Raw genomic sequence first — 23,126 nt, 5'->3', positions numbered from 1 at the left:
TTTTAGCTCAGCATTGTAATTTTAGCTCTTCTTCGTGGATCAGACCACATAACAACTCCGAATCATGTTTTTATTATGACAAAAGTTTGTGGATAAAATTCACTTTGCTAAATGACATTAATTTAACACGATGTATTGAATATCTGCTATGTGCCCATTACAGAACTAGGTTCAAGGCAAAGGCCAACAGAAAATAAGCATACTTAGTTTCCAACATCAAATGTGTGTTTTTCCTCTACATTTGCATCCAAAGAAAATACTCTTATGCACATCAGGTTTAATCTCTTAGCTTGACTTACGCTAAATTTATATTATATAGAGACTAAAATATGCTTTCAAAATTTTCAATTTCTATTCTTGTCTGTTTTGTAATCTCCCAAGAACATCTGGAAGCTGGGGAAAACATCAGAGCAAGTGAAGAATGTTCAAATATACAGGGACCATCCAGAGACATGTGGCCTGCACGTTGATGAGCAATGTGAACTGAATTACTGTTGTATCTGGAGGAATTCCATAAAAGAGAGTAATCAGTCTATTTGGATCCCAACTGCCTTTTCCTGTCCCCAAAGGGCGGGAACTAGTGTGGGTGGAAAAACCCAATGCATCCCAAGGCAGTCCTGCCTTCTAAAGCGCCCGCCAGGACAGGCTCCTGGTGGGTTGTAAGGAGAACGGCAGGAAGAAGTGCTCCCAGGAAGCTGCCTAGCCACCGCCACCACCACAGGGTTCCATCCAACTGGTAGGAAACATGCCCTCTTGGCAAGACATATCCTAAAGAGACTGATTCTCCTTCTGTCTCTCCTGTTTTCTCCACTTCTAGCAGAACAATGTTCCCAGTGAGAATCATGAAAAGATAGTGATGTCTTTTTCTCCATAAGTTTGTTTATTTCCTTTAGCATGAATCCAAGCCCAGTTTAATTCTCTAAAACCACAGCTGGTCAACATCCCTCATAAAATTAAATAATAAACAGCTATATGAAGTGCATACTGCATGACTGTCACACATCTACAAGAACTTTTCAAACTTTCTTGGCCACTTTGTGGTGTGTGAAATATCTATAAGCAACAGATAGTGTAATATTTTCTGAACTCAATCTGAAGTTTTCTGTTATTTGATTGATGATTTTAGACCATTCATATCTTACATGAAAAGAGATGCACATGCCTTGCCATTTCATCTGATTTTAGGTTTACTATTCCTTATTCTTTATTGTTATTTCCTCTTTTCTATTTTCTTACGTTGGCTGACTTGGTCACATTTTTTTCATTCCCTTGCCTTCATCACCCCTCCACCTCCATCTCTACCTCCACTAATTGGAAACTTAAGCTGTGTTTATTAATCTTGCTGATAATTGGATCTGTATTGCTCTATTAATGTGTCTAAATTAAAATAATATAATTATGCCCTGCCACCTGAATATTTTGCTTTATCACTCCCTTCCCTGCCATGCTCCCTTCTAAGCCCACAGTTTTGCTGAACTAGGAATTGTCCTGAGAACTTTCTTCCACAATGGCTCAGCAGATCTCCATTTTAAACCGGCAGTCTGCAAACTCAGCCCTGAGGACACAGCCAGCCCGCTTCCAGGCATCTCCTGCGAGCTGCTCCCAGGAAAGAACAGCAAAGCAACCTGGTCCAGTGTAGACATGCTGTTCAAATCATCTGTGGTTGAATGACTATTTTTTTAATTTAATCTTTTGCAGACATTTTTGGTAAAACATTATATAAATGAATTACTAGAAAAAAAGAAATACAAAAGTAAAAACATATGAAATATAAGCCCCAATCTTTTGTTATTAGATTCAATACACATAGAAATAAATTTTAATACATACAATCAAAACAAACAGCATGGGATAAAATAAAAGAATCCCAAAACCATATGAATGATTCATTGAAAGTATGTTTACAGATTAATATAGAAAATGCTTATTATACTAGCCGCTTTTACTCATTGTGCAATGAAAACAAAAAGTTATGAAAGAAATAATGGTCTCTGTGGTAAGTACTGTGTAGATACTTTGTACAAACACTATACATATCAACATTTAAGGTTTCTAATGTTACAAAGGAACTTGTTTCTTGCTTATTAACTTATCTAAATCAAATTGAATTGGCAACAATACTGCTTACAGGGCATGACAGGTATCTAGTTTCTATGTTTTCTTTTAATAAAACTGATAGTAGAGAAACAAGTCTTAACCAGAGGTATGTTGGCAAGGACAGAATAAGATATTTTAAAGGCATCTGAGCAAGATCAGAATATTCATTGTCAACTTTTATCTAAAATGAAGCAAGTGACACTACATTTGCAAAACTTAACTTCTATCCTTGTTAATCTTTTGTCCTTATTCAATAAAAGAATCCTTATTCTTTTATCCTTATCAGTAGCAACTCACAACAATTTATCCTGTAAAGTTGTAGTTAAATTTGTGTTATTTTAATGAAAGCAGTGGATTTTGGATTTTATACACTTTTAGATTTGAGTTTACCAATTAATTTTAAAATATCACCTGCTGTAAATAACTTGGTTCTACTGTGCCTGCCGAATTCCAAACCCTGAATTGGTCTAGATACTCTTCAGGGAGACAAGTCACCTGACCACATGCTTGGATGTCATGGCAATGACAAAAAAAAATTCTGTAAGTTTCTAAATGCCTACTCTCAACCTCAATACAAACAGTTCACAGACCACTATTGGTCCACAGATCGGACTTCAAATAATAGTGACCTAGAAGGCATTGCTGGAGGCTGGAAGGAAACTCTGGTTTTCCTCCTTTGAGGGTTAGAGTGAGACTGGAAAGATTGTCACCACCTGGGGAGCTTTGGTAAAAGATAAATCCCAGGGGCTCTTACCTGTGTTTTCCCTGCTGGAAGCTTTTCACTGGTGAATCCATCTGTCTGTGGTGACTTCTACATACACATTCTAGAGCAGCACTGTCCAACAGAACATTCTGTGATGGTGGGAATGAGCTAGACCTGTGCAATCCAATTCGATAGCCACTTGCCACGAATGGCTACCGGGCACTTGAAATGTGGCTAGTGCAACTGAGGAACTGGAATTTTTATTTTATCTTAATTGATTTTAATTTAAATGGCCACAGCTGGCCAGGGACTACTGTATTGGACAGGACAGCCTAGAAGCTTTTGTCTGGCTGGGACACCATATGGGAAGGGCCCCATCTGGTAAGCAGAGGCTGGGAGTCTGGGGCTGACATGGCAGAGTGCAGCCTGCTTTGCCGGGAGCTCCAGGGCACAAGAGGTTCCAAGCAGCTAAGAGGAAAAGGGAACTGCCATCCCAGATGGGCTCTGGTCAGCTCTCTACATGTCTTTTATCTCTCTGCAGACTTATGGCATCAGGAGCTTTGAATTGTCTCATCTCCAAGACTCTGAAGGTCCTTACAACACTAGCAATCCCCTTCATGCCTTAGGGGATCTCTACATGATGTCCTGCTCAGATGATGGAAAGCCAGCCCCCTTCCTCTTGCAAACTGGCTTCTTGCACAGTCACCTGGCCTTAGACTAGAACCATGGCTCTCAAATTTCAGGGAAAGTATGATCAAGCAGTTCATCAGGAAGCACAAATGCCACATGGACAGGGCAATTCTTTTTCAAGAAGACCCACAGACTTCTCCTGCCTAGGCTCTGAAGAAGCCACAAAAATCTGTCCTTCCACTAGGCTTTCAGGAGAGATGAGCCGTCTCCATTTCCATCAGTCACTCAGCTCTTCCCCAACACCACAGACAACTGGCCGCCTTGGAGGCTCTTCCAAGTTTCCTGTAGCAGACTCTTTAGTTGTTATAATGTTCCAGAAACTGAAGTGGGAATGGAAGCTATCAAGTTTTCTGTACTCCAAAAATTGTCTCCAGCACATTCCCTGAGAAAGTGTTGCATCCTTGCCCTGAACACCTTCCAACAGAATGACTAAGGAATACTCAATGCTAGACCATTCCAGCCTGTTCACCCACCAAGAGGTGGAACTTGTCTGAAGCTACAGGACCACAATTGACCATACCCTCCCCTCCTTCTTTGCTTTATCTTTTTGGAACATATTCTGTTTATTATTAACATTTTTAAACTATGAGACTTAAAGATAATCTGTTCTAAGCCCCTAATCTTGTACATGACTAAAAAAAATCACAAGGACAAATAGAATGCATGCACACCATCACTCTCCTATCCTCTACCCACAGCAGAGATCACTAATCAATTAAAGCAATCTTTTCTACTGCACACAGGTGTGGCCTTAAAATCCTTCTGGACAGAACGCTTCAGGCAGACTTTTCATATTTAATCATAAACATAAATGACATCAAACATTAAACCCATTTGTCAATCCAGTGTTAAATGATGCTAAAGTAGTTTGTGGTAAAACTGGGCCCATGTCTCCTCTCTCTCAGCTTATTGACCTTTCTGCTACATCACAATGTTGTACTTATGTTGAAATGTCACACTTTACATCTTCTGCAAATATTCCCTCTAGGTTTAACTTTTCCAACAAAATATCTCATCATGTTTTTGTCTTTTCATTTTTGTTCTTGAGTAAGTAATACATTTACTTGTTTCAAACTCAAAGCAATGTAAAGGTATACTCGGGGAAGTCATGCTACCACCCAAGTCTCCATCCACTTCATTCCTCCACTTTTATTAGTTTATTGTTTATCCTTCCAAGGTTTCTTTATGCAAATACATGCAAATCAAATATATATTCTCATTTTCTGTGCTGGCCATACACAAAATGTAGCATATTATATATACTTGTTGTACCTTTCTTTTTTTAACTTAACAATATAACCTAGAAATGGATTTTTCTCACTTTTTCGTAGGTTTATAATCATACTACTTTTGACATTTAGGTCATTTGAATAAGATTCAATCTATAAGACCTGCCTTCTTAAACCCTGTTTTGGTCCTCTCTGAGATTCGATGCCACTATTTGGCCAGTTAAAACTAAGCGGCCCTTTTTGCTTAAGTTTAATTATCCATGATCGATCTTCTTCAAAATGTAGGTGAAGTTTCTCTACTATCCAGCACATGATATGGCCAATGTTTTTATTAAGAAAATAAATTTTATTAAAGCCACTACATGAAATATTTCTTTTGATGGACACTAAAATAATAAGCATACATAAAGTATCATAATAGCTTAATAATAATTCAGTATTTTGGAGTTGCCAAGTATAAAACTGGAGGCTTCAGAATTAATTTTAAGGATTGAGCCCTGGTTATTAGCAGACACATGTCTGCTTTAAAACTTTGTCCTTTTCACTATTAGAAAGCCAAAGGCTGCTTTGGCTCTTAGAGCCTTAGTAGAGCCTCAGAATTGACCCATTAGGCTAGTCTCTGATTAAATGGACCCCAAAGTGTTAGCCTGAACTCTTTTGTTAATTGCCTTGAGTGAGTTTGCCTAATCAAAGGAACGTGTGAAACCTCTGATCTGTATGGCAGCCTTAAGATTTCTGATCTTCATTATCTTCTATAAAAGTACATCACTTTTGTATTTTTCAGTTCCTTTTCAATCCCCTGATAAGAATGACCTGTTAATAGATAAACTTAGGCACATTAAAATTTTAACAAGTTTATTTGAGCATTCAGCAATTCATGAACCCAGCAGTCTCAGACTACAAGTGGTTCAGCACTCCACTGAGAGGGTGCAAGGGGAAAACTTGTATAAGGTGTTTGTGGAAGCAAGACAAAGAAAATATCTGATTGATTTAGGCTGAAAATCTCTAGTTACAGGTTGGTTAGCAATTTCTGATTGGTTAAACTAAAGTTTTATTTTAGTATTTAGGTTGAGTTAGGTTTTGGTTTGCTTACAAAGGCACTGGAGCCATCTCAGCCTAGTGGACTTGAAATCAATTATTATAATAGATCCCCTACCTAAGAAAGCCAGCATCCCTAAAGGAAAATAAATACTGAGGACTTTATGCAAAGCAAAGAAATGGATGTAAAGACGTGGATCCTCATTGCCCTCACAATACTTCTTTTCCTTGAAAAAAGGCTGAGAATGGATAAAGATAAATTTAGGCACAGTAAGGACAAAGATAAAGAATAGCAAGAACTTGTAGCTTGGATTATTGATGCCAGAGAAGTGGAGACCCCATGTGGAGAATATTTTTACCCGTTTCCCACCACTGCTTCCCGGACAGAGATAATCTGGGACCCCTGTGAGTATAGCCCAGCTGGCAACCTTGCCATATTTCCATCCTGCAAGGCTTCATTCAGGACAGCGCAGGAACTTATAGGTCAGTCTAAACACTAAACAAGAACATTAGCCTTAACAACACAAATTAGTAATTCATTTCTTCCTTATGTAGCTGAGCACTTAATGATCCAAATCTTGGCGACTGAGTTGGGTAATAGTTCATTGCTGGATGACCCATCTTGACTTTCAAAGTTGCTATTGTTTTTACATTATCCTCAAGTGTTATCATTAAGTTGTGAGCAAGACTAATTTTCTTAATCATTCCCAATCTCCCCAACCATTTTTCACTGAATAATATCATCAACAGGCTGCACAAATTGGACATCTGAGATTTAGTTGAATTAGTAACACCTAAAAGATCATTTATGGCTGCAGCAATAAGCCTCCCATTTCATCTAATTAGAGAGCAAGATTATTTCCCTAAATCCCCACTAATATTTTGAGTTGACAAACAATGAAGCAATCCTGATAAAGTGAATAAATGAGTTTCATAAAGCCACTGCTTTTTTGTTCCTTCTTCAATAAACTGAACACTACACCCCAAGCACAAGTTTAAGAGCCAAGAACAAAATATATAAGCACCGGTCACAACAGTTATTAGGCAATATACTCCACAGAAACTGTCCTGAATCTTCAGAAGCATATTAACTTTGGGGCAACAATCCACCAGGAACATTGCTACGGCTTTTATGCTTAAATTCTTAAACATGCAGGAACAGAGACAAATGTTGCTTGGTCCCTTTATCATGAGAGTACTTAAGTATTTACTAAAGCTAACGTCTCCCAATAAATTACAGTTCATTCCCCAAAGATGGTTATTTCTCAAAAAAGCTATGAAGCGTTTAAAAAGAATGGTCAATAAGATTTCATGGAGAAATGGCAGTCTAGCTAAGCCTGCTCTAGCTTGGTATATGACAACTTTTTTCATCTGAGACAATGTCTATTTTGAACACATGTGTGATATGAAAATAAACGGAAAATTATGAACGCAATGTTAGTGAGTGTGTTATATAGCAAACAAGATGGGAAATAATATAGGAAATGCACAGAACAGGACATAGAGAATGAAAGCAATAATTAAATAAAAAGGAGAGAGGAAAAATGAACAGAAAGAAGACAGAAATGAAGAGAAAGTTTAAAGGGCAAGAGAAACCCTGCCGAGTCTGGCTTGACAAGTGGTATATGATCATTTACATAATCCATGAGAAAATTTTGGTAGGTCAGGACTTAGAGTGGTTGCCTAGGTTTCCTGTGAACATACCTGGCTTTGTCCCAAAGCTATTAATGCACGGTGACCCTGGCATGATCACCTGCCCTGGGACAACTCATTCCATACTTTGGCTTACTTGGCAACACCATTGTGGAAGGAAAAGGGAGAGGCTGTATTAAGGAAGCAGCAAGAAAAAGGGGTATCCAGTGGAATACCAGGAAATTCTGCGTTCCTTTTCCCTCAATGGTAGTTCAGGTAGCGTCCCTTAACATTTGTCCTCAGCAAAATTAAATGTGTCACCCACTTCGCCAGGTACAATGGAAGTTGTACAATGGGCAGAATTTGAAAGTTGCTTTGTGGCAACTAATACATATCTAGTCATTTGTTTTAAAGTTGATTACTCAGTTTGAGATGTGCAAACTTACTTTTCCTAGAAATCCAGGAAAACAACTAAACCCCTTGACTTCCTGAGGATCAGTTGCACAGCTTAAGGCAAATAAATGTCAGCAAAGCAAAGGGGGTCTGACTGTTGTTTTTCCTCTCTCCATAAGTGCAAATAGCACCCTAGCAGGAGTCGGGAGAGCCATTTATTTTTTAACTAACAAAGGTGACAGCAATTAAGTAGCTGAGTCAGGACCTGAGCTTCATTGTGTCCCACACTTGTTCCCTGACTTCTATACCACACACCAGTCAGTCAGTTTGTACTCTAATTACCCAACATACATTTTTCAACCATGACAGATATCTGTGAAGTGTTGAGATGCTAAAGAAAAGGTCAAGAGGTCCCACCTTCTGCAGGTGGGCTGCTTTTCTTGTGTGGAGCCATTGGAGCCCCTCACTTAGTGGAACTGAGAATGCTTTTAACAGCTAACATTTAGTAAGCTGTTAACTATGTGCCAAGCAATGTACTGCATTGCATATGAATCAACTCATCTATTACACACAACTGCTCCCAGAAGTAATTGTCTCCATTTTACAGGTGAGGCAAACAGCACGGAATGGTTAAGCGGTCCAAGGTCTCATCACACAAGGGTCGGGGGTACTGCAATGTAAATTGTGGCTCCCAACTGTGCCTTCCTCCACCGTAACAAGCCACCATTTACTTGATTCTCTCTCTTGTTTTTAAGCCTGCTGATATTTTTTATTTAAGGTCATGGCCTCCAAATCCTTGTTTTTTTAAAAAAAGTTTTAATATGTTTTATCGTCATCATATTCTATTTTTGTAATATTTTCCAAATGTTACTGTGCCTTTTCAGTATCTTATTTTACTTTCTTTAAAAAAGAAATTACCCACAAAGTACATTATCTCTCTCCTTCCTACCACTACCTGTGCAAACTTAATCCCAGAGACAACCAGGGTTGAGTGTGCATATGTGTGTGTGTGCATGCCTCACTATGAATTTATTGTATTGCCTTAATGCATTATATGTATATTTTTTTAAATACATACACACATACCTTTTTAATATAAAGGGATCATACCCGACACATTTCTGTAACTTGCTATTTTCAATAAACAATAGGTTGAAGCTCTTTTAATGCCTATGCATATAGATATAAATCTTTCTTCTAACAGATGCAAATAGTCAAATATTACCTTATCTGAGGCTGCCCCTGACCATTCTATATAAAATAGCACCCCACCCATTCTCATCTCTTACCTTGCTTTATTTTATTCTCAGCTTTTATCAACCAGAGCATACCTGTTTATTGTCTATCTCCCTCCACTAAAAGCTAAGCTTTATGAGAATAAGAATTTTTTTTACTCCTACATTCCCGGCCCATAAAGCAATGCTGGCACCTGGGGGTACTTGAGACACATTTTTTGTGAGATTACCCTTAAAAAGACTATCAGTTTACATAATCACATAGTGTGTGTGTGCCTGTTGACCTGGATCCTTGTTAACCTTGAATATTATAAGTCCGTTAATTTTTTTGTTAATCCAGTATTTCATTCCCTGAGAACCTCTTGAGTAAATTACCTGTCCAGATACCTTATCCCTTTGGCAATTGGGTTTGTTTTCTTCTTAACTATTTGTAAGAATTCTTTATATGTTCAGGGCACTGATTCTTTTGTATCTCACATGCTGAAAATATTTTGTCCTATTCTGTCACTTGCGTGTCACTGGTTAGGCATAGAAGTTCAGGCTGATCCTCAGTGAGCCTTGCTCCTTGGTGACGACCAGAAGTTTTATGGATTTAACATCACCTCAAACTGTCTTGTTCCAAATGAGCTGGACCATGCAGAACTATCCCAGTCTACAGCTACTATGCACTGAACCCTACTCAGAATAAAGAAGATTCCCAGGAGATTCCCAGGGCTGTGCTTCCTCTAAAGCCTGGCAAGATAACACAGTGGAGAATTAGCTGTTGTCCAGCTTTCATCAAAAGCCAAGATAAGACAGTTAAGGAATACTGTTGCAGGAACACTGCCCACCCAGACCTTCATATATTCTATACAGCCTAATTCTCTGAAAGCCTAATTCTGGCCTTGGTTCTCTTGGAGTCACACTAACTGATCTCTACTTACCCAACATGCTAGTTAACAGATAGTCCCTCTGGAAGTGCACTGAGACTTCTTTACTACCATGAGAACAGTATGGGGGAAACTGCCGCCAAGATTCAATTATCTCCTACCAGGTCGCTCCCACAAAACGTGGGAATTGTGGGAGCTGCAATTCAAGATGAGATTTGGGTGAGAACACAGCCAAATCATATCATTCCACCCTGGCCCCTCCCAAATCTCATGTCCTCACATTTCAAAACCAATCATGCCTTCCCAACAGTCCCCCAAAGGCTTAACTCATTTCAGCATTAACTCAGAAGTCTGCAGTCCAAAGTCTCATCCTAGACAAAGCAAGTCCCTTCCACCTATGAGCCTGTAAAATCAAAAGCAAGTTAGTTACTTCCTAGATACAACGGAGTTACAGGCATTGGGTAAATACACCCTTCCAAATGGGAAAAATTGGCCAAAACAAAGCGGCTAAAGGCCCCAGGCAAGTCCAAAATCCAACGGGCCATTCAAATCTTAAAGTTCCAAAGTGATCTCCTTTGACTCCATGTCTCACATCCAGGTCACACTGATAGAAGAGGTGGGTTCCCATGGTCTTGGGCAGCTCTTCCCCTGTGGCTTTGCATGGTACATCCTCCCTCCCACCTGCTTTCCTGAGCTAGTGTTGAGTGTCTGCGGCTTTTCCAGGAGCATGGTGCAAGCTGTCAGTGGATCTACCATTCTGGTGTCTGGAGGATGATGGCCCTCTTATCACAGCTCGGCTAGGCAGTGCCCCAGTGAAGACTGTGTGAAGCCTTCAACCCCACATTTCCCTTCCACAATCCCCTAGCAGAGGTTCTCCATAAGGGCGCTACCCCTTCACCAAACTTCTGACTGGACATCCAAGCATTTCCATACATCCTCTGAAATCTAGGCGGAGGTTCCCAAACCTCAATTCTTGACTTCTGTGCACCCACAGGCTCAACACTACATGGAAGCTGCCAAGGCTTGGGGCTTGCACCTTCTGAAGCCATGGCCCAAGCTGTACCTTGGCCTCTTTTAGCCATGACTTCAGCAGCTGGGACACACGGCACCAAGTTCCTAGGCTGCACACAGCAGGGGGCCCTGGGCCTGGCCCATAAAACCATTTTTCCCTCCTAGACCTCTGGGCCTGTAATGGGTGGGGCTGCCACAAAGGTCTCTGACTTGCCCTGGAGACATTTTTCCCATTTTCTTGCTGACTGACATATGGCTTCTTGTTACTTATGCAAATTTCTGCAGCTGGCTTGAATTTCTCCTCAGAAAATTGGTTTTTCTCTTCTATCTCACTGTCAGGCTGCAATTTCCCAAATTTTTATGCTGTTCCCTTTTTAAAACTGAAGGCTTTTAACAACACCCAAATCACCTCTTGAATGCTTTGCTGCTTAGAAATTTCTTCTGCCTGATACCTTAAATAATCTCCCTGAAGTTCAAAGTTCCACAAATCTCTAGGGCAGAGGCAAAATGCTGCCAGTCTCTTTGTTAAAACATAGCAAAAGTCACCTTTACTCTAGTTCCCAACAAGTTCCTCATCTCCATCTGAGACCACCTCAGCCTGGATTTCATTGTCCATATTATTATCAGCATTTTCATCAAAGCCATTCAACAAGTCTTTAGGAAGTTCCAAATGTTCCCACATCTTCCTGTCTTCTTTTGAGACCTCCAAACTGTTCCAACCTCTGCCTGTTACCCCGTTCCAAAGTTGCTTCCACATTTTTGGGTATCTTTACAGCAGCAACCCATTCCAGTAGTACCAATTTACTGTATTAGTCCAATTTCATGCTGCTGTTAAAACATACCCAAGACTGGGTAATTTATAAAGAAAAAAAGGTTTGATGAACTCACAGTTCCACATTGCAGGGAGGCTTCACAATCATGGAAGAAGTGAAGGAGAAGCAAAGGCATGTCTTATATGGTGGCAGACAAGAAAGAATGAAAGTGAAGTGAAAGGGGTTTCACCTTATTAAACCATCAGATCTTATTCACTACCATGAGAACAGTATGGGGAAAACTGCCCCCATGATTCAATTATCACCCACTGGGTCCCTCCCACAAAACATGCGGATTATGGGAGCTACAACTCAAGATGAGATTTGGGTGGGTACACAGCCAAACCGTATCACTACTTTAAAATTCATATGGAACTAAAAAAGAGCTTGAATTGCCAAAGCAATCCTAAGCAAAAAGAACAAAGCTGGAGACATCACATTACCCAACTTGATACATACTATAAGGCTATAGTAATCAAAAGAGGATCTGTATTTTAATGAGATCCCAGGTGACTGTATGCACATTCTACTTAGAAAGCACCACTATACACAGTATTTTCTCTCTTATTTTATAAAAGGACATTTAAATAAATCTATATGATTAAAGAATTTTCTATACATTATTAAACCCACATAAGAAATTTCTTTTAAATTTGGTGTCACTTTTCTCATAGAATTAGTTTTTTTCTCATGGACAGTAATAATTTTATCAATCTTATGTTCCTTTTTGCTTTGGCCACTAGGAGGCTTATAAATAGTTTTTCCTTAGCAATGTCATCTGTTCTTGTCTTCTTATTTTAATTTGTATTTCCCCTTGTCTGGTAGTTTTCATTTATGTTTTATTATTTCATTGTATATGTTTCTTGAAATAATTTTATTTTGTTTACCCTAACGTTATTATAGGGAGAAAAATAGATTGACAATCCTCAGCCTGGCATTGAATAATTATATTCAGTGTGATCTCCCACCTTCCTGACCTCATCTCCTGCTCCTCCCAAACAAGAACATCATATTCTCACCTAACTGTTGACCCCTTTCCATTACCCTAACATCCTTTCTTTTGTTGGAGTAGGCTCTCTTAATCCCTCAACGTTCAGCCCAAATTATACCTTCTCCTTGATGGTTTGCCCTGATCATCCTGGTCAAAGGTTCTTTCCCCTCTTACCTACAAAAAGCACTCTGTTGAGACCCTTAAATGCAATTTGGCATTTAGCTTATATTGTGTCCATTTACATATGTGGCTTTCAAAAGTACTTTGAGGGAAGGGAGTATGTATTATTTGGGTCACCTGCAGTGCCTATTGCCCAGATGATGCTTTATTAATGAATGAATGAAAGTGTATTAAGTACATATGATGAGAATTTCATTTGGTTTCAGCTTAGTAAAAACAGATTTGAAACAGACAACCAATATGGAAAGTAAAATAACCTATTATTTTTACTTTTCTGCTTCATTCATCATTCAAAGGAGCTCATAACCCAGGATTTGGTTGGGCATCTGAAAAGTTTACTCAAAATTTGTAAGACAACAAGAATTATGATGTGCCCTTTAAGTAAAGCCAACGAGGTGTTGGAATGTGGGGTAAGGTGTATGAGACGTCTGTATATAGAAGATATTTGCATTTTCGCCAGAATCACGCTGCTCTCCACAGGGCTTCTGGCACCATTTCTAAAGACTCACAGGCCTTTAGCCAAGTCTTTCAGGGCCAAAGCTCCCCATGGACTGTCTCACAAGATCTGCAGGGGAACAAGGTAACACTGACTTTGGTGGCTTAGAGACAGTGCAACACAGCAGCAGACAGACAGCCTGGCACACAGCCAGCTAAGAAAGTGGGACATCTGGGTGTGAGCCAAAATATCTCGCTGACCTTGAGCTGAAGGGATGAGCCTCTGGCAGGCACAATTAAAAAGCTCAGATTCTCTAAGCAGAGAGTGAACATTACATACAACTGCAAGGGAGTGGTCCATGCCACATTCAGCAGCCTAGGACACAGAGCACAAATTAACAAAGTCACCCTTGTTAATTAGGGCATGTGCAGGACAATAAAATTCACCAATTCTCTCACCTTCTCTTGAGATTTGAGCTGTCAGAAATATAGTGCAAGCTAAAAATGTAATTTTAAATTTTGTAGTAGACACATTAAAAACATAAAAAGAAACAAGTAAAATTAATTTTAATAATATACTTTCTTTAACCCAATATATCTAAACTATCATCATTTCAACACTTAGTCAATATATAAAATTATTAACAAGATATATCCATTTTAAGTCTTTGAAATCGACATCTCAATTTGGACTAGCCATATTTCTAGTGCTCAGTAGCCACATGTGTCTGGTGGCTACAATATTGGACAGTGCAGACTTTAAATACTGAAAATACAGAAGTAGTGAATTATCTATAAATAATAGAAAAGGTTCTGACTTTGTAGATTAAGCTATCTAGCTTATATTTTTACTCCTTGGTTACAGTTTTTTTGGCACTAGAGAGGCCATTTAACCTGAGCCTCTCCCCATCAGAAAAAAATGTTGATAAATAATCTCTACCTTTCAAGTTTGTTGGCATGAATGTGTGCAGAGTACCAGCACACTGCCAGGCCCCCAGAGGACACTGAATACATTACAATATACTGATAACATATTCATATAGAAGGGCTCCAGAGCTACCCACAGTGAGAGTAAGAAATCTCTCTGAAGGGAATTAGATCCTCTCATTTTTCCTGGCTTAAAATCACAAAAATAGAAGAGAAAGCGGTAGCTTCATTCTAGCTTTTTTCTAACTTTACAGTATAATATTCCAATAGATTGTATCTCTTTATGTATTGTATCCCTTTTATGAAAATACACAGACTTCCAGTTTCTAATCTGGCATGTAAGCAGCTAACAAGTCTTCACTGCAACCCAAAAAGTGAAGAGCTAAACAAACAGGAACATCAACAACTCTTCTTAGATCTATCAGAGAAGGGAGGTCACAGGGAAAACCACCACCCCAAAAACTGGAGACAGACAGGCAGATACAGAGAATCACAACTTAGCAGAGCAGAAACCTTCACAGCAACCAGTACCTGAAGAAATAAAGGTAAAATAAAAACATTTACTTTTTTTATTCTTAATAGATCTAACAGATAATAACATGTTCAAAATAACAGTAACAATGTATTTGATTATATATGTCTGTGTGTGCGTGCGCGCGCGCGCGTGTGTGTGTAAGTGAATGGCAGTGAAGACACAAGAAACAGGGCTGAGGAAGGAATTAGGAATACTTTGTTATCGTAAGGTACTCACAGTACCCATGAAGTGTTATAGTGTTATCTGAAAGTGAAGTAGAATTAGTTGTAAACATGTATTGCAAACTCTAGAGCACCCACTTTAAAAAAAAAAAAGCTTTTAAAAAATGAGTATAATTGATAAGAAAGGAGAGAAGATTGAATCATATAAAATGCTCCTTTAAAACCACAAAATGCATAAAAGAAGTGGAAAAAATGGGAAGAAAGAATAAGGGCAACAAATAGAAAACAGTAACAAATGTAGCAGGTGTTAATTGAACTATATCAATCATCACCATAAACGTCAGTGGCCTAATGCACAAATTAAAAGATACAGATTGTTGGCCAGGTGCAATGGCTCATGCCAGTAATTCCAGCACTTTGGGAGGCTGTGGTGGGAGAATCACTTGAAACCAGGAGCTCAAGACTAGCCTGGGTAACATACCAAAGCCCTGTCTCTACAAAAAAACTTTAAAAATTGGCTGAGCATAGTAGTACATGCCTGGAGTCCTAGCTACTTGGGAGGTTGAGGCAGGAGGATGGCTTGAGCCCAGGAATTAGAGGTTACAGTGAGCTGTGATTATACTACTGCACTCCAGCCTGAGAGGCAGAAATAGACTCTTAAAAAAAAAGAAAGAAAGAAAGAAAGAAAATTGTCAGAGGAATCAAAAAACAAGGACCAACTATATGAACTATTTGTTGTCCAGCTGAAATCCCCTTTAAATATAAAGACACATATAGATTAAACGAATGGAAAAAGATATACCATGATCTTACTAATCAAAAGAAAAATGTAGTAACGATATTTATTTCAGACAGAGCAGATTTCAGAGCAAACAAGTTATCAGGAATAAAGAAGAACATTATATAATGATTTAAAAAAAGGGTCAATACTCTCAAGAAGACATAACAATCTTTAATGTGTATGCACCCAACAACAAAGCATCAAAATACATGAGGCAAAAACTGACAGAACTGCAAGGATAAATAGATTAATCCACTATTATAGTTGCAGACTTTAATATCCCTCTATCAAAAATGGATAGGTCCAACAGGCAGAAAGCCAGTAAGAACATAGTTGAACTCACTAGCATCATCAATTAACTGGATATAGCAGACATCTATAGACTATTTCATCCAACAGTAGCAGAATATACATTCTTCAAGTTCACGAGAAGCATCCAAAAGATAGATTACATTTGGGGCCATAAAACAAACCTTAGCAAATTTAATATAATAGAATCATATAATACCTCAAACCACAATGGAATTAAACTAGAAATCAATAACAGAAGAATGTCTAGAAAATCTAAAAATACTTGAAGATTAAACAACACACTTCTAAATAATATGGGTCAAAGAAAAAATCTTAATAAAAATTTTAAAATATTTTGGCTGGGCACAGTGGCTCACACCTGTAATCCCAACACTTTGGGAGGCCAAGGCAGGTGGATTACTTGAGGCCAGAAGTTCAAGACCAGCCTGGCGAACATGATGAAACCCTGTCTCTACCAAAAATACAAAAATTAGCCAGGTGTAGTGGTGCGTGCCTGTAGTCCCAGCTACTCAGGAGGCTGAGGCAGGAGAATTGCTTAACCCCAGGAGGTAAAGGTTGCAGTGAGCCAAGATCATGCCACTGCACTCCAGCCTGGACAACAGAGTGAGACTCTGTCAAAAAAAGAAAAAATAAACAAAATATTTTAAGCTAAATAAAATAGAAAATACAATTTAAAAAACTGGGGGGATTCAGTGAAAGCACTGTGTAGAGAGAAATTTGTAGCATTGAATGATTATATTAGCATTGAATGATTACATTAGAAAAGAAGAAATATGTAAAGTCAATGATCTAAGTCTCCACATAAGAAAACTAGAAAAAGAAAAACAAACTAAATCCAAAATAAGCAGAAGAAAATTATTATTATTATTATTACTAGAAATCAATAAAATTGAAAGCAGGAAATCAATAGAAAAATATCAGTAAAACCAAAAGCTGGTTCTTTGAAAAGATCAATAAAAATCAATAAGCCTCTAGCCAGGCTAAGCAAAAAAAAGAAAGAGAGAGAACACACAAATCAATAAATGAAAATGAAATTAGGGACCTCAGTAAATATCCCATGGACATTAAAAGGATAATAAAATAATTACTATGCCCATAAATGTTACAACCTAAATAAAATGGACCAATTTATTGAAAAATGCAATCTGTTAAAATTCACAAAAGAAGAAATAGAGCATCTGAATAAGTCTATATCTATTAAAGAAATTGTATAAATAATTAATAACCTTTCAACACAGAGAGCACCAGGCCCAGGTGGGTTCACTGGTAAATTCTAACAAAAATTTAAGGAAGAAATTACACAAATTCTTTAAAATCTCAAAAAAAAAAAAATCAACATAAAACCGGATATCCAGGAGAGATTTGGGAGTGGGGGAAAAACAAACATAAATACCAGCTCCAACGGAAGAAAAAAAAACTCTTTCAAAAGATAGAAGCAGAGGGACTACCTTCTAACTCATTTGATGGGGCCAGAATTACCCTAACACCAAAACCAAACAAAGACATTACAAGCAAAGAAAACTATAGACCAATATCACTGATGAATATAAAAGCAACAATCCTCAACAAAATATTTGCAAATGAAATCCAATAATGTATAAAAATACTTCTATACCACAACCACATAAGTTTTATCCTAGGTACACAAGATTGGTTCAACATTCAAAAATCATTTAATATAATCTAGCACATCAATAGTCTAAAAAATAAAAATCACATGATCATATTATTAGATACAGAAAAATAATTTGACAAAATCAAACATTCATGATAAAAACTGTCAGCAAACTTGGAATAGAGACGAATTTTCTCAACTTGATTAAGAGCATCTACAAAATGTCTATAGATATCATCACACCTAGTAGTAAGAAATTCAAAGCTTTCCCACTAAGATCAAGAACAAGCAAAAATGTCCCTTCTCACCACTGCTTTTCAACATTGTGTTGAAAGTTCTGGATAATTCAATAAAACGAGAAAAGGAAAAAAATGGTATACAAATTTAGGAAGGAAGAAATAAACTGGCTTTATTTATAGATGATATAATTTTCTATGTAGAAAATCTAATGAATTGACAAAAAATCCTAGAATAAGTGATTATAGCAAAATGGTAGGATACAAGATTAATATACAAAAGTCAATCACTTTCCAATATACCAGCAATAAACGAGTGGAATTTGACATTAAAAATACATTACCATTCACATTAGCACCCCCAAAAATGAAATATTTAGGTATAAATATAACAAAATATATACAAAATCTATGTGAGGAAAACCAAAAAACTCTGATGAAAGATACCCAAGACAAAATTTAAAATAGAGAGATATTTTATCTTCAAGTATAAGAAGACTCCATATTGTCAAAATTTTAGTTCTTCTCAACTTGACCCATAAATTCAACACAATCCCAATCAAAATTTCAGCAAATTATTTTGTGGATATTAACACACTAATTCTAAAGTTTGTATGAAAAGGAGAAAGACCCACAATAACCAACTCAATATTGAAGGAGAACAAAGTAAGAGGATTGACACTGCCCAACATCAGACTTAATATCTTTATATTTCATGTTTATATTACTACAGTAATCATGACAATGTGTTACCAATGAAATAATATACAGGTAGATGAGTGGAACAGAATAGAAAGCTGGCATATAGGCCCACATAAAGCCAAGAAAATGACCCCAAAAGCCAAGAAATTGGCCCACATAAAGATCAGTTTGTCAACTGATCTTTGAGAAAAGAGCAAAGGCAATACAATAGAGCAAAGATAGCATTTTCAACAAATGGCTCGGACAACTGGACATTCACATGCAAAATGCAAAATTATAGCACTTCTGGAAGATAACATAGGAGAAAATCTAGATGACCTTTGTGTATGGAGATGTCATTTTAGATGCAATACCAAAGGCACAACCCATGAAATAAATAATTGATAGCTAGAATTCATTAAAATTAAAAATTCCACTCTGCAAAAGACACTGTCAAGAGAATGATAAAACAAGCCACAGGCTGAGAGAAAATATTTGCAAAAGACACATTTGATAAAGGAGTGTTATCCAAAATATACAAAGAACTCTTAAAACTCACCAATAACAAAATGAACAACTCAATTTAAAAATGGACAAAAGACTTTTACAGCCAATTCACCAAAGAAGATACACAAATGGTTAGTAAGCAAATGAAAAGATGCTCAACATCATATATTATTAAGGAATTGCAAATTAAAACAACAATGAGGTACCACTGTGCACCTGTTATAACTGCCAAAATCCAAAACACTGACAACACAAAATGCTGGCAATCATGTGGAAAAACAGAAACTCTTATTCATTACTGGTGAGGATACAAAATGGTACAGCTACTTTGAAAGATAACTTGGCAGTTTCTTACAAAACTAAGCATACTTTTAGCACATGATCCAGCAATCACACTCCCTGGTATTTTCTCAAATAAATTGAAAACTTTCATCCATACACACAAACAAAAAATGCATATGGATGTTTATAGCAGCTATATTCATAATTGCTAAAACTTGGAAGCAACCAAGATGTTTTTCAGTGGGTGAACGGATAAATAAATTGTGGTACATCAAGACAAAGGAATATTATTCAGTGTTAAAAAAATGAGCTACCAAGCCATGAAAAGACAAAGAAGAAACTTAAATGCATGTTGCTAAGCTAAAGAAGCCAATCTGAAAAGACTACATACGGTACAATTTTAACTATTATAACATTCTGGGAAAAACAAAACTATGGAGAAGGAAAAAGATTAGTGGTTGCTAGGCAGGTGGGGCAGGGGATGAGTAAGTGGAGCACAAAAGATTTTCAGGGCAGTGAAGCTATTCTGTACAATACTACAATGGTGGATAGATGTCATTATATATTTGTCAAAACCCATAGAAAGTGCAACCCAAGAGTGGGCCCTAATGTAAACTAGAGATTTGAGATGATAAGGATGTGTTGATGTAGGTTCATAGATTATAACAAACATCTTACTGTTTTGCAGGATGTTAATAATGAGGAAAGTGAGGGGGGATATTATAGAAAACTCTGTTTTCCTCTGAAAACTGCTCTAAAAATAAAATTTGTTAATAAAACATATTTTGAATATGCAACAAATCAATGTGTAGAGAAGTTAGAAGATTAGTTCACCAAATAACATTTCACCTTATACCAGCACTCACACAAAATAATTTCATAATCAAGAAACTCACACAACGATAGACTGGGTTAAGAAAATGTGGCACATATACACCATGGAATACTATGCAGCCATAAAAAATGTTGAGTTCATGTCCTTTGTAGGGACATGGATGAAACTGGAAACCATCATTCTCAGCAAACTATCGCAAGGACAAAAAACCAAACACCACATGTTCTCACTCATAGGTGGGAATTGAACAATGAGAACACATGGACACAGGAAGGGGAACATCACAGTCTGGGGCCTGTTGTGGGGTGGGGGGGGGGGGAGGGATAGCATTAGGAGATATACCTAATGTTAAATGACGAGTTAATGGGTGCAGCACACCAACATGGCACATGTATACATATGTAACAAACCTGCACATTATGCACATGTACCCTAAAACTTAAAAGTGTAATAATAATAAAAAAATTTTAAAAAAAGAAACTCACAAGTACTGTCAAATAGCTAAATAGAATAGTTGAAAATGTTCAAAGTTCTTGGGATCCAGGTCAGTACTGAATTTAGCATCTCATGTCCTATTGTCCTTTTCTCTCCTTCTACTGTTGGGTGTAGTTGGGGTCTTGGGAATCCAGTCCATATTTTGTCTGTATTGAAAAATAGCATTGAAAAATATCTCAAAAGAAAGGGAAACAAGATTTGGCATTCAGAAAGTAGAAAGGTTTTCTAGAAGTAGGGATGCTTTACATAGGTTGTAATGCAAAGAAGAAAGATTGTCAAGAGATAATTTCCTGGCCTGCAGCAAAAGAAGAACAGAATCAACTTGGTAGGTGGAAGTGAGGCATGGGAAATATAGGAATCCATACTCCTCCAGAAAGATCCAAGGTCAAAATAATTACCAGAAAGCTTGGGGAAGAACATGTTATGAAACAAAAACAGATTGTATGGGGGCAATTTCTCAAATCACTGCACCGAAGGAAAGAGTGGATGGTTTTCAATGAATAAGGAGAGCAGGAAGGTAAGAATATGAAATGAGGAAAAAAACATCACAACATCTTCCTGGAGGGAAAGACGAGTTAGAAGACAGCCTTTAGGAATAGAAATACAACTTTGGGGATGCACCAGTAAGAAACTGGGTCAAAATTACTGCATTCCTTAGAGAGATCAGTTATGAATTGTGCCTGCTTCCATACGGAGTGAGAAAGAGGGGCTTGGAGGATACTGGGGACCGAGGGCACAGAATTATATTCTCTCTGGTTGGGAACAAGGAGGAATCTTACTTATGGAACAATTTTGGACAGGATTATTTTTAGGTTTGACATAGTTAACCAGTAATTACTAAACACCTTTTATGTGCCCCCTTCCAACTTCCCACGTTGTACCTTTTTTTAATCATTGCCATTGGTAACAATTCAAGAAGAACCAGCTCTTGCCTCCTAAGAATGAGGAAATTCTACAGACCCAACATATCAAATGATTAGCTGAGAGGGTATTGTTGCTCTGGGGGAAAAAGGGCAATTTGACTGGGGGAAATTCCGTTCATTTAGCAAAATTTAAAATAGTGTTTCTTTAACAATGATTATTTTCTATATGTTTGTTTATTTTCTTTAGGGAGGGGAACTGACACAAATTTTCTGGAAGATTTATAAAAGCTATTAGCCAGATCTGGAACAACTTTCACTACATGGCTTCTGGAGATCAAAAGCAGTAAAGAATGCCTCTTCGAAAGGAACTCCACTTGCCTCAGGTTGTTTGGTATGGAGCATGTATTAGTCTATTTTGCATTGCTATAAAGGAAAACCTGAGACTGGCTAATTTCTAAAGAAAGGAAGTTTATTTGGCTCACAGTTCTGCAGGCTGCACAAGCATAGCACCAGCATACCCTCGGCTTCTGGTGAAGTGTCAGGGAGCTTTTACTCATAGCAGAAGGCAAAAGGGGAGCAGTTGTGTCACATGGCAAGAGAACAAGCAAGAGAGAGAGGAGGCAGGTCCCAGTCTCTTTTTTTTTTTTTTTTTTTTTAACAACCAGCTCTTGTGTGAACTCATTACCATGGGGAGGGCACCAAGCCATTCATGAGGTAACCGCTCCCATGACCCAAACATCTTCCACTGGGCCCTACCTCCAACATTGGGAATCACATCTCAACATGAGATTTGGTGGGGGGACAAACATCAAAACTATGTCAGGGCACCATTTTGTGCCACTGCAGCCCCACAGGATAAAGTCAAGAAAAACTTTCTATGCAGTCTCACTTTACTGTGGTTTAAAATCTGTGCTTACTACAATGTCATGCATTTCAAAATTTCTCTGGCTCTTGTAGGCAAGTTGTTATTTATCAGGACATCTGGAATTGGTAGAGGAGGACACCATCTAAATTAGTGGTTTTTAAACTTTTTTCACCTCAACCTACAGTAAGAAGTAATTTTTATAGTTACCCTGCACATACATGTATAAAATACACCTACAAAAATACATACAAACTGAATCAAGAGAATCATAAAACAATAATGTATTATCCCTGAAGCACTGTGAAATTTCAATTCTAGCTCTATTTTATTCAAAAAAAAAAAACCCTTGTCACAGCCCACCATATTGATCATTGTTCATTTATAAGTCATAAAAGGCCTGAAGTTTGTGACTTCTCTTCCCAAGTGGCTACCATGACATGCCTATTCACTGCCACCTGATTTACAAGACCTTCCACAATCTGGTCACATCTCCCTGTTCAGCATGAGTTTCCCACTTCTCCTAACATATCTTTTAGAATAATATAATAGCTTCCTTTTATTGGGCACCGACATTGTCATAGTTTCTGTGCTAAGAGATGATATGAATCATATCTTGACTACTCACAACTCTGTGATGAGGTTATTAATTTGCTTCCAATATATAGATGAAGAAACTTAAGCTCAGGGAAGTTGAAGCAAGTAAGTGACTGGGCTGG

The 23,126-nt window shown here is 37.7% G+C and overlaps 1 long non-coding RNA gene across 1 annotated transcript, besides 1 other annotated feature; it reads left to right on the top strand.

The window, feature by feature from the left end:
• The first annotated feature begins 627 nt into the window (after nucleotides 1–627).
• On the top strand, nucleotides 628–6,692 carry LINC00517 (long intergenic non-protein coding RNA 517). The gene is made up of 2 exons (NR_135286.1): nucleotides 628–736; nucleotides 3,342–6,692. It is a non-coding gene; the product is annotated as a long intergenic non-protein coding RNA 517 (long non-coding RNA).
• Nucleotides 7,714–8,544: an enhancer, noted in NCBI's record as "OCT4-NANOG hESC enhancer chr14:38363413-38364243 (GRCh37/hg19 assembly coordinates)". NCBI's record gives its function as "activates a minimal SCP1, AML or CMV promoter by ChIP-STARR-seq in naive H9 embryonic stem cells {active_cell/tissue: H9 hESC(naive)}" and the evidence as "EXISTENCE:reporter gene assay evidence [ECO:0000049][PMID:30033119]".

This window comes from Homo sapiens, chromosome 14 (assembly GCF_000001405.40).
Source record: "Homo sapiens chromosome 14, GRCh38.p14 Primary Assembly".
NCBI lineage: Eukaryota > Metazoa > Chordata > Mammalia > Primates > Hominidae > Homo > Homo sapiens.
This window is presented reverse-complemented; position numbering and strand designations above follow the sequence as displayed.